The sequence below is a fragment of the Homo sapiens genome, chromosome 4 (assembly GCF_000001405.40).
Source record: "Homo sapiens chromosome 4, GRCh38.p14 Primary Assembly".
Lineage (NCBI taxonomy): Eukaryota > Metazoa > Chordata > Mammalia > Primates > Hominidae > Homo > Homo sapiens.
Genome location: NC_000004.12, coordinates 73,864,748 through 73,877,069, shown reverse-complemented (window position 1 = coordinate 73,877,069; position 12,322 = coordinate 73,864,748). Strand labels below are relative to the sequence as shown.

General features: G+C 40.1%; 1 protein-coding gene across 2 annotated transcripts; it reads right to left on the bottom strand.

Moving 5' to 3' along the window:
* Positions 1 to 5,761: 5,761 nt before the first annotated feature.
* Positions 5,762 to 7,677, bottom strand: CXCL1 (C-X-C motif chemokine ligand 1). 2 transcript variants are annotated; one of them, NR_046035.2, is made up of 4 exons: positions 7,500 to 7,677; positions 7,278 to 7,424; positions 7,081 to 7,164; positions 5,762 to 6,549 (listed from the first exon to the last, which is right to left on the bottom strand). NR_046035.2 is itself a non-coding variant. In NM_001511.4 (4 exons), exons 1-4 carry the CDS (start codon positions 7,597 to 7,599, stop codon positions 6,534 to 6,536), a joined length of 324 nt encoding a protein of 107 aa, NP_001502.1. In that variant the 5' UTR covers positions 7,600 to 7,677; the 3' UTR covers positions 5,762 to 6,533. The 2 variants fall into 2 exon arrangements, 1 of the variants encoding a protein (NP_001502.1); NM_001511.4 differs by having other exon boundaries at positions 7,278 to 7,401.
* Positions 7,678 to 12,322: the final 4,645 nt, after the last annotated feature.

The following is a 12,322-nucleotide window of genomic DNA, read 5'->3' as shown; positions in this document are numbered from 1 at the left end:
CATTTTTCTTCTGTACCAAGTAAAGGTAATAAAATGTGCTATCACACACCAGCATGGCACATGTATACATATGTAACAAACCTGCACATTGTGCACATGTACCCTAAAACTTAAAGTATAATAATAATAAAATTTAAAAAAAAATAAAAAAATGTGCTATCAATCTGTACAGGTGTTATGATGCTAATAAGAAAGTATATACAGATAAGATAACCAAGTATTGAAAGATTCGAAGTAATTTAGTTTTTCATAAAACTTCAAAGACAGACTTAAGACATCACAATAGTTTACTAAGGAGTTTGTTAAAGAGATGGTAATTTTTCTTATCAAAGATGGTTCTCTCATTCTACAGCTACTAAAATTTATGCCAGATCTGCAGCAGAACTTATTACAGTTAGATTTAGAGTGCTGAGACTGACAACTTGACAACTTCCCTGATCTTATAAACAGTTATTTTGTTAGTTGAATTTTCACATAGGCCTGAGGCTTATACAAATATGCAAGTTACCAAAACATCCAATTTTAACTGTAATCCTATGTTTTATTTTTTAAAATATTTATCTACACTGAAATGCAATGTAATATAATAATAATAATTGTTTATTGTACTCCAATAAACATTTGTGCTAACATTCCTCTATGAATTTTTGTAAGTTTTCTGGAAACTTTACAAGGGGTATTTCTATGTCATAAACAAGAAAATCAAATATTAGGAAGTAATACAGCAGTGAAAGATTAAAAATAGCCTTACATTCTTAGCAGCTCCTCACTTTAAGAGACAGAATCTGTATCCCAACCCCCTTGACTCTATGCTCACCTCATGACTTGCTTTGGCCAATAGGAAGTGTTAAAAGTGATGATGTAGATGTTCCAGGCCAACAAGGTAAGAAGCCTAGGAGTTTCTACCCCTGCTCTGTTAAAATGCAGCTGCCACCATATGAGGATAGCCAAGCTCATGAGGCCCAGGCAATGACTAGTGCAAAAAACCAGACATGTGAGTGAGGCAGCTGCACTCGGTCACCAAGTGTCACCTGGTGACTCCAGGAGACACCATCAGAAGAACTACCTGAGCCAAGCCCAGGTTGTTGTATTGCCTAGCCCAAATTGATGGTCATGTGTCAAAATAAAATGGTGACTGTTTAAACCCACTGCATTTTCGGGAGACAATAGATGATTAATAGAGTAATTTAGCCAGTAAATTGGCTGAACTCATTTTATACTTTGAATTATTTGGCTACAATATGCACAATGTTTTCTTTAAACTTTCTTAAAGTGGCACATGGCGTGAATGGCTATTAGCTATTAATTAGTACTCTGAGAATGGTTCTACAAATTTTAGAAAGCCAATCCTGTAGCCAAAATTTAGGATAACTGTCTTCTTGAGCAGTCATGAAAATAATCTAGTTTAATAAAAATCACTGTGTATTAGTCATCAGAAAACCAAACTCTGACCCACTTTTGTAATAAAATAATTCCATGGCATTTGGTAACTCCTTGGTGGTTTCTGAGCCTTTGTAGTTCCATCTATAAAATGAGAAGGCTGATTTTCTTTTTCTTGTGATCTCTCAAGTTTTGAACCAAACTCCTGTCTGGCTGTCAAGGGATCAGTCCCTAGTCTCAACATTTTATTTATTTATTTCTCACCATATGATCTGGCTTCTTTTTTAGGAGATTCTTGAAAGCAACAGTAGCATTTCTAACTACTTTTCACTTAAAAAAAGAAAGATTTATTACTTTTAATGTGGAGAACAAAAATGTCAGTTGGAGTCCTCACCTTTTCAAAGGTGAAAATGAGGTCCTGACTATGGTTTAGTAGACTCTTTCTCCCTGCTTTAGTACCTTGTGGATCCAGATTCCACATTTTTATTTTAAGCATAGCCAAGGAATAGAAATCAGAGGCTGATGCCCTGCTGTTAGGAAGATTTATGACTCTGCTATAAACACAACAACTACAATTTCTTGGTTTGAGCAGGTTTCATAGTTTCTGCAGATGAGGAAAGCAAACACTCACAACAGCCCCTTTGTGAGGTCAAGAACTCAGTTGTGTGCAGCAATGGCCAGTGTGGTTCTGCTCTCTTCTATCATGAGCTTTCACTTGTTTCTGCCTCACTTCCCATTTTTCTTCCTCTTGGTTTTCTGGCATTATACTCCTCAATAAAATAGTAGTCATAAGCCTCTGCTATGAGGTCTAATTTCTGGGGGGCCCAACTGTCTAAGTTTGGGCTCCCCCAAAACAGAGTCTGATAAAAGACTTATGCGCAGTAGTTTATCTTACAGGTGATCATGGAAAGAACAAGTGAAGGAGTGGGGGAATGTGGGATAGGGAAGAGAGAAAATCTAATAAAGTGTATGTAATGAATGAGCTATCATTTGTGCAACCAGGGCTTCATCTTGCCATGGAGTCTCAAGGAAACCTTGTAAAATGTTCCTCAGAATTGTCCCAATAAGACTTCAATTTCCAGTCACGTTGAAGTAAAACAGAAGTCATAACTTCCTGTCTTAAGCAACTAGAAAATGCAACACAATATATGAAGCAATTGTTATCAGACATTGGACAACAAGCAGCAAAAGGCTAGAATTCCTCAGAAAAGGAAATAAACAAGGTGAGGTGTATGGTGATCTTGGTTTTTTTCTGGAGCAACTCTGGACCACCGTGCAAGGGGAGAGATCCAAAGTAGACCATGGTAGTCTTACTGAGTTGAGGGGGCACAGGTTTGAATTCAAGGGAGCTGGGGTGGCTAGAAGTTTAGGAAAAAAGAGTTGTAGAAAGGGGAGATCTATGCAAGAAACCAGAACTCCATAAATCTGCACTGAGGTCCCACTGGGTCTCTTTGATCAGTACTAAGTCACACACGCACGGTGGGGGAAACTCCATAAGTCAAGCAAAGAGTAACTAGAGATTTGTAAGCTGAGAAAACCTCAGACCTAGCATGGAATGAGGAGATAGTTAAGGTCTACCCTGTCGTAGTAGAGAGAACCTGTGAGCACTCAGGGCATTCACTAACGGCACAAGAAGGACATGACTTAGTAGTACAGCTAAACAAACCCTAGAGTGAAGAACATTCCTAGACCACCCTAACAAAGCTCAACAACAAGCCCCAAAGAGACAAAGCTGATGCCCTAGAACTTACCTGCTTGTCAAAATGGAGCCCAAGACTCTAAAGAAAGAGAACAAATCTTGACACTCAGCAACATAAGATTCAAAATTTCCTGCAGTCAAATGAAAATGATTATACATGCTAAGAAGTAGAACAGCATGAGTTATATAAGAGAAAAAAAATCAAGTAAATATAGATTCAGAAGTGACAGAATGATAGACTTAGCATACCAAGATTTTAAAATAACTATCTTAATTATGCTCAGGTGTGTAAAGAAGGTGTAAACATAATGAAGAGGGAAGTGGAACATTTCATCTATTCATATGTCTTTTTAATATTTATTTATTTTAATACACTATCTATAAAATTTAAACACACACATATATATGGAGAGAGAGATAGGAAATTCTAGAATTATCTAACAAGAGACTGGGAAAATTGAATATTCATCCTTTAACTCCTATCTCTCCTCTCAGGGCATCAAATCACAGGCCATCCTAGCTGTGGGCTGAGAAATCTCTCTCTGCCAAGCCCCCTTTCCCACACCTCAATGGAGGAAGCCCCCAGGAAGAGATGCAGAAGAACAAGTGCCTTAAGTTGGGAAGCTGTTATACATTGCAGCTGTTGTACTCATTGTGAGGGGAGTGGGACATCATTGGTGAAGACAGGCAGGTCCTTTTTTAAATTATGTGATTGGGTAGCCAGAAAAGACAAACTGTGTGATCTGTTTTTCTGGATTTCCCTCACTGTGCTATTGTGGGTCTGCCACCTCCACCATCCCTTAACGTCTCTCCAGTTACTTCTGGAACACCTGAGAGGGTGTCTCAGGAGGACTCACAATGATAGAATAGCGTTAGCCACGTCTCCTTCTTTCCTTCTCTAGACCCCATGGTAACATTGCTCAAGAAACCTCAGTCACTGTGATCATTGCTGTTTCCTGCTGATGGCTTCTCAAAACTGTGATGTGTTATGTAATATCCTTTTCCTACTTCCTTCACCCTGTGACTACCACGCCAAAAACGCTGTATCCTACTTCCTGCTATAACACTCCCAACAGGAGACTGCCTTGTACTTGCAAGTTTTCAGAGCAATTTGGTGTGAAAACACAATTTACATATCTGCTTGATCTAAGACTGAGACTGAGACCATGTCCATGGAGTTGGCCTGAGGACCAATGGCAAGAACCAGGTTTCCAGAGCCTCCATAACATTTAATTCTTACAACACTTCAGAAGGCTAATTTTATTATCCTCATCCTATAGAAAGGAAAATGAGGTTGAGTGAAGTAAAGAAACTTGCCCAAGATCACAGTGACAGAGCTGGAATTTACACCAAAGTCAATCTGATCCTTTGAAATCTGTCTTTAACCACCATGTGAATAAAAGCATCTCTTTTGTCCTTTTTATGTTCCCTGTTCCATATTAGCCAGAGCTAGGTAGCCAGTACAGCAAGCTCCAATGTTTGAGGGTAAGGACTTGTCTTAGGTGTAAGGAGTGGTTTTATTGAACCCTTGGATGCTACTTGTAAACATTTTCCAGTGTCCTCTAACTTGGGGTTAGGGAGTGAATGCTACCATTTATGGAGTTTCTCAAATGGTTTGCATTTATTTGCTTATGTATAGTTTACAAATATTCTTCTTCCTCATCTCATTCATAATTAACTAATAATGTTGGAATTATGAAGAGATTCTTGTTTTTAACTTTTTTAGTTGTGAGAAAAGCTCACAGAGTTTGTTTCTTGTTGCTTATGACCTCTATTTGCCCAGCTTCTTGGGATGATCCAGAATTTGATTTGAAGTATTGAGGCTGCCAGTCTCACCTTCTTGCCTCTGTTAGAGGCAGTTACCCAGGGCTCAGGATTTCTGAATGAGTTCTGAATCAGAAACAAGCACACACCTCATGCATGCACGAACATCCTTCCTTTTCAGGTTTGGAGTGTGGTTTCTTTTATATTATTGGGGTATTTCTTCCTTAGACATGCCAATTTTGCTTCTGTCCTAAAAACCTGTAGTGCTGCTGCTGTTCTGGGACAGCATTGAATACAGAGTTCCCCAGAAGGCAACCGCTCTATGAGGTCCCATCAAAATTCCACTAGGAACGATGCAAATGAATGCAGTCCAATCTTAAAACCATTATAGTTGGTATATTGCTATAAAGGATTGAAACACCGCAAATCTTAGTGCTAATTACTTATATGTGAAGGCTAGAAAGCTGAGCCCAAATTTCAATCAGATCTTTTCACAGGTGAAGCATTCAGCCACTCACTTTTGCTTCTATTGACGACACAAATGATTTGAGTTTTGAAAAACGAAATATTTTAGCCACCATTTCACTGCCAGCTTCATTAAATTGTCAACAATTATGAGAAATATTGTTCAACAAAAGCAATGAAATGAGAGCCCTTGTTAAGATAATATAAATATTTTTAAGGAGGTAAATTTGAGTAGCAAGACAGAAAGAAACTTCTTATAAAAAGGGCAATTTATATCAGTGACTCTCCCATTAGGGGCCAGCCCATAGTTTAGTAAAGCGCATTCTTCACTAGGTGAGAGCCAAGGGTATTGGCAGCAATCACCGCATGAAATGAAGCATAACTCATAGTTTGATTTATCTGTATAGCAAATTGAACACCCAGAAAAATAAACACAATTAAAAAATTGAGAAATATTGATATAAATCACCAGATTTTCCAGTAAAGGTAGCCCTTGTTTCCCCCCAAAAATCAAACGAGTTTTTTCTATAAGTGCTTTATTTTTATATTCTCTATGAAAACATCAATAATTAAGCCCCTTTGTTCTAAGCCAGAAACACTGTAAAACTACCATTAAACAAGGCAGTATGCCTTACAAGAAAGACATAAAATGTCCAAGGGATATTTAGAACATTTTAGTTCTTAAAGTTTCAACATGAGAAATGTTGACCACACACTGTGAAATCATTTCAATAAATAACAACTGACATTCATCTAAACAGTTACAAAACAGATGTGCACATACATTCCCCTGCCTTCACAATGATCTCATTGGCCATTTGCTTGGATCCGCCAGCCTCTATCACAGTGGCTGGCATGTTGCAGGCTCCTCAGAAATATTAACATAATGACTGGAGAACATTTGAAAACATTCTACCTTCAAATTAAATATGAATCCAGATTGAACTAACTTGGGGTTGACATTTCAAAAAGAATGAATATAATAGGACAGTGTGCAGGTAGAGTTAATCATACCCTTAATTATTTTACACCTAAAATATTAACATAGAATCTTCAAAACTAATGAATAAATAAATAAATAGAAGACTTCTCCTAAGCGATGCTCAAACACATTAGGCACAATCCAGGTGGCCTCTGCAGCTGTGTCTCTCTTTCCTCTTCTGTTCCTATAAGGGCAGGGCCTCCTTCAGGAACAGCCACCAGTGAGCTTCCTCCTCCCTTCTGGTCAGTTGGATTTGTCACTGCAATGAGAAAATGGGTGCCCTGAGTAGGTGCTCGGGAAAGCTGATTGCACAACACTCTTCTCCTGCCCTGCTCCTCCAGCCTCTAGAGTTTTCCGAATGCAGTTTCCCCAGCCTGGCAACCAAGTGGCTACTGCCTATGACAGCTGTGCTGTGTGGCAGGGACCTCTAAGCTTGGGATGCTCTTTTAGGAATGGGGGTGGGGTGGGGCGGTGGTCTCCACTGTACTATTGGATTAAAAACAGCCAGAACCTGTTGCTGTTTGTCCTACTGGGCCTCAAATGAAGGCAGTTTTACCTACATTCATTGGAACGAAGGAAGAACCAGGGTGGGGACGCCAGGCATTGGGAATATCCTCTGGCACCAGAGCAGTAATTATCGTAAAGGAAACCTTAATTGTGAAAACAATAATCCCAATTTCTAGTCCTTCAACTAACCCCTGGGTTTTCCTGATTTTATTTTTAGGGGGCACATGCCAGTATTTCTGACCAACGGCTCCAGTCGCCTGTGTACATGGAAACCATAACTCACCTGTTCAGCATCTTTTCGATGATTTTCTTAACTATGGGGGATGCAGGATTGAGGCAAGCTTTCCGCCCATTCTTGAGTGTGGCTCTGCAGAGGGAAGGGAATCTCGTGAGGCAGGAGGTCGGGCTGGGGACAGGGTTGGGGCAGCAGGAGGGTCTGGGACCCCGGCGGTGGCAGAGGCAGCGCGGGGCGGGACTTACATGACTTCGGTTTGGGCGCAGTGGGGTCCGGGGGACTTCACGTTCACACTTTGGATGTTCTTGGGGTGAATTCCCTGCAGGGTCTGCAAGCACTGGCAGCGCAGTTCAGTGGCCACGGACGCTCCTAGGGAAGAAGAGACTCACTGACTGAGCGAGGCTGTCGGCGCTGGGTGCCTACCCCAGCCGCGTCCGGCCCGGGGACCCCAGGGCGCCGGTACCCACCTGCTGCGCGCCGGCCAGCGGCTACCAGGAGCAGGAGCAGCAGTGCCACTCGCAGGAGCCGGGGATTGCTGGGGGCGGCGGAGAGAGCAGCGCGGGCCATGGGGCTCAGCAGGCGGGTCTGGCGGCTGTGAGAGGAGCGGAAGAGCTGGCGAGGAGGTGCCTGCGGCCCGGGCTCTGTGGCTCTCCGAGATCCGCGAACCCCTTTTATGCATGGTTGGGGCTGGAAAGCCCGGAGCCCCCGGGCCAGGGAAATTCCCGGAGTTCCAGATCGATCCCGAGTCCGGAAGGAAGGCGACGGCCCCGCCCCCAGGGTGGAGCGCTTGGGGTGCGGGTGGGGTGTGGGGGTCCACTGATGCAGCCCGCGCCTCGCCCTTCAGAGTAACTCCTGTGGACTCTGAGACTCTGGGATATTCGCCTTCTGCCCCAGATCCCTGGAGGGGGGCTGAGTGGCAGCCTGCGCTGAAGATACCACCTGAGAGGTGGGATCTTGGGTGCCTGGTGATCCCAGTGTGTGGGGCTGGGAACGGAGAAGGAGCTGGGGCGGATCCCTGAGAACCACCACAGAGAAGGCGCGACCTCTTTGGAGGAAGAGCGTTGTGTCTCGGATTTGTGGCTGGAGATTGAGAGAAATTAACAAGGTGCTGGGAGATAGGCTGGAGCTATATTATCCTCTCTGCCTCAGCCTTTCTTATTTTCAGTTTAGCCTATTTCACGTACATCTAACATCAGTGCTGTCTGTGAAAGTACAGTCCATTATGTCAGATTCCAGAGAAGAATGTTCTGCTTGTTCCTTGTGTTGCATATTCTCTAACCACACTTAGAATATCTTGTTTACGTTTTCCATTTGGTGGCAACAGATTATCAGTGTCAAAAGCTGAATCCAGTGTTAGCGTCAGTGGAAGCCAGGGCTGTATAACATGAACTCTTCTTTCATATCCTGCTTATCTTCCTTCTTCCCTGTAAAATGTTGGAACTTTCAAAATCCCCTGGAAATCTTTTCCCTGTAGGAGGGGTTCAGGTTTGATCTAGAAATACGGCACTGGTTGTCACTCCGGACCTCGGAGGGGCTGGGTCCAGCAGGCTCATGGGCTCACCATTCCTGGTTCTGTCTTTGGACTGCATAGCACATGACACCAGGGAGTGGGTACCTGGTGTGCAAGCACCCTTCCCACTGAAGCAGCAGACATGCATTCGGATGAAATAGGAACGCCGGATCCCACATAGAGTCACATTCCATTTACTATAGGACTTCCTGGTATTCAGTATTGGGCCCCCTTTCTAGAGAAACACACACATGTTGTTTTCTCTCAGGAATTTCAGTCATTTAACCTGGTAGCTTTATTACTTTTTTCTCCAGAAGTTCTAGAGAACTTATTTTTATTCATCATTAGGTTTTTAGAGGGTTTAAGTGTGATTCTCCAAGTGGGATTCAGAGCTCTCTGAGACATGGAGTAAGATGGGAGGAGGGGGAAAAAGCAGAGGCTTCTGCCCCAGGGGCAGATGTCTCCACAACAGAGTTCTACACAGCCCAGCTCAATAGGTAAGACCTGTGTTCCTAGCCAAGCAGAGAACACAGGCAAGGCTGCCACCTGCATTTAGTAGTGAAGCATCGCCTGCAGATTGTTTAGCCTCTCCGTTTCTACCCCAAGGTGGTTATGAGAAATGAGTCAACATTTGTAAGAGCCAGCATGGATTTAAGTGCCTTATAAATGTTTGTTAAATATTTGTTTAAAAAAAAAATGGAAATAGCGTTTTCCAACATTGCCTAAACAGAAACTCATCCTGATGTGAATTTATATATATATTTATATATTTATATATATATATATATATATATATATATATATATATATAATGGAAAGGTTCACTCCCCAGTGTTTTTTACATTTAAAATTTTCTATATCAGTTACTGCTACCCAACTACCCCTAATGTATACAACACCATATACAGCAGTATGAGTCTTGAATAAATCAAGGCAGGTCCTGGAAGACAGAATGTTCATATAAACACCAAAAGCTCAGTTTCCAAAATGCCCTTTCGGTTACTCAGGGGTACTGGTGCTCTCATTACAGTAATCTTAGTCAAGGGTAGAAAGGTGTGCTAGAATGTTGTTTCTTTAAAACAGACACTGTAGATAGTATATGTACTCCAGTCTTTTTCAATTATTTCTCTTTTCACATCTTCCTGATTACTTATATTTCTTAACAGGAAGAATAAATGAAAAAGCATTGACCCAATGGAGACCAAATACAGTGTCCCAAATATCTTCATCAGTTTCAAGCTGTAATCAATGCTGCAAACTTCTAAATCTAAATTTTTTAAAAAAGAAACTCAGCTGAGAATTTACAAAAATTGAAATAAAATTTTCTGTATCAGGCTTTCAGAAAGGAAGACAAATATGTACTCTACCACGAGGTACACTTAGATGAAATTTTATTTGTTACCGTTCAGACAGATCATTGGTTTATTTTGTAGTCCACCTTTCAATCACTTCATGTATATAAAAAGGGACTTTGAATGTAATAGTCTTCATCTTATTTATTGAAAAGATGTACTAAAGGAATGACTATTTTTTAAAAAAACTCTAGTATTTATCAATATGACTCTAAGGGAAAAATCAAGAAAATTAGAGGAAGGTTCAAATTAGTAGTAAGGAATAGGAAATGACATATAATCTAAAGTTTATTAAGTGTGTGACTAGCTCATGCATAATTGAAAGTTTGAGTGATTACACCTCTTATTATCACTCTTTTTCTGGGATTTGATGGGAAACTGAAATTTCCAGAAACATGGAAATGATTCTTTAAAACTTGAAAAATGTATTGTTTTGTTTTCTAATTGTAGTTGTAATATATGCTCATTTTATAAAGTTTATACAAACCAAAAAGGCAAGAAGAGATTTTTCTTCTCTAATGTCTCTTCACTTTGTCTATGAAACAAACATTCACAGGTCGCTGAAAATTTGCTTTTTTTTCTTCAACAAAGGAGCTAAATTATAAGAGCTTACAGAATTCTGGTAAATAAAAAATATGCTGCTTCCTTGATTATGCTGCTGCATACCAAGGGCAAATTGCTAAACCTCTACACCCGAGGCAAAGGGCAGAGCATTTATTTTCTGCTCTTCTAAGCAGTTTACAAATATTAACTCATTCAGTCTTCCAAACAAGCCTGTGCTTGTACTGATAACTACAGTATCAGTAGATATTGTTGTGTCTATGAGATTTTAAGTTGCAAATAAAGAAACTGTGGTGCAGAGAGGTTAAGTCACTTGCCTAAGGTCATACATCCTTGAGCCTGGAAATCAAAGTCAGATAAAATGGCATTTAACTATTATACTATGATAAAAACACTCTGTGATATATAATTAATACTTTCAAGAGTAGAATGATTTTAAAAAATCTGTTATTGCCCTAGTTGAATGGTTCAAATTTACATATTCTTAAATGAAAACACAGCAAAATGGTCACACATCTCTATAATTTTGTTTCACTAACAGCATATCTTTCCTGTGGCATTGAAATAGCTTGTTATATTTTCCTGAAGTACACAATTCTGAAAAATAAAATAGTAACTTTGCCATGAGAAAACCTGGTAAACTCGCCCTATACCAAATGAGGAAGATTTACGTCATCAGTGTGATGTCATGTGCATATCATGTACCCCCTTGATATGATGTCACAAGAACAGCATACCTCTTTGGTGCTCTTTCAAAAATTAATAGCCCAAGTCTAATCATGAGAAAAGCATGCTTCAAACCTAAATCAAAGAATCTTAAATGGCTGAGTGGTACTCTTCAAAATTGTCAATGTCATGAAAAATAAGGGCAGATTGAAGAACCATCACAGTCCAGAGGAAATTATGGAGATATGACAATCCACTGCAGTGTGGTACTTTGGTTTGCATTCTGAAACAGAAAGAGGATGTTAACGGAAAAACTGGCAAAACCCAAATAAAATCTGCAGTTCAGTTAAAAGTAATGTGTCAGCGGTGGTTTCTTAGCTTTGACGACTATACCATGATATTGTAAAATGTTCACTTTAAAGGAAAGTGGGTGAAAGATACACAGATACTGTATTGACTTTGCAACTTTTATAAACTTAAAATTATTTCAAAATAATTTTTTTATTTTTTAGTTTCTTTTTTTAAAATAGTTTATTTTTTAAAAAGTTTCTCTTTCTGAATTCATTTAGAATGCCACCAAAATTAAATGGCCATGCGTGTTTCATCTGCTAGCTTTTAGAGAGGAAACTGAATTTTCGTTTAGTGCCTGTTTGTTCAAATATGAAAATCCAAAATATCTACTGCCGAGTTTGGACACTTCATCATGTTTCATAGGATTAAATAGTTTGCCTTCATCATTAATCACGCTGCCCAAATCTCTCATCTAGTTCTGGTAACTGGAGAAAAACACAAGTGTTTCTGCTGTAATCATCTCAGGACCCAACCCAAAACTGACGCAATGAGAGCGCTCAGGGGGAGCAGAGCTCCACAGGAGCTGCCAAGAGAATGAAGCGAATTAAGCATGTCAAGAAGCAGTGGGCATCCGCAGATTAGACAGAACTTGACTCAGGAAAATTTTCATCAAAATCACATTTTGTGTAAATGAATTGGAATGGAAAGAATTTTTTGTTGTTATTTCCTCCTTAATATGCCACTTGTATCAATGAAATCCGCATAAACCAAAATTCAAAATTTATAAGCACAGGAATGCTGTAGCCTGGAAAAATAAACAAATTCATTGTCTTGTTGGAACAAATGTTCCTCCAAGCTAATTTTTTTCAAGAGTTGAATGACGGGATTTTACGCAGTCTTTAAACGTATG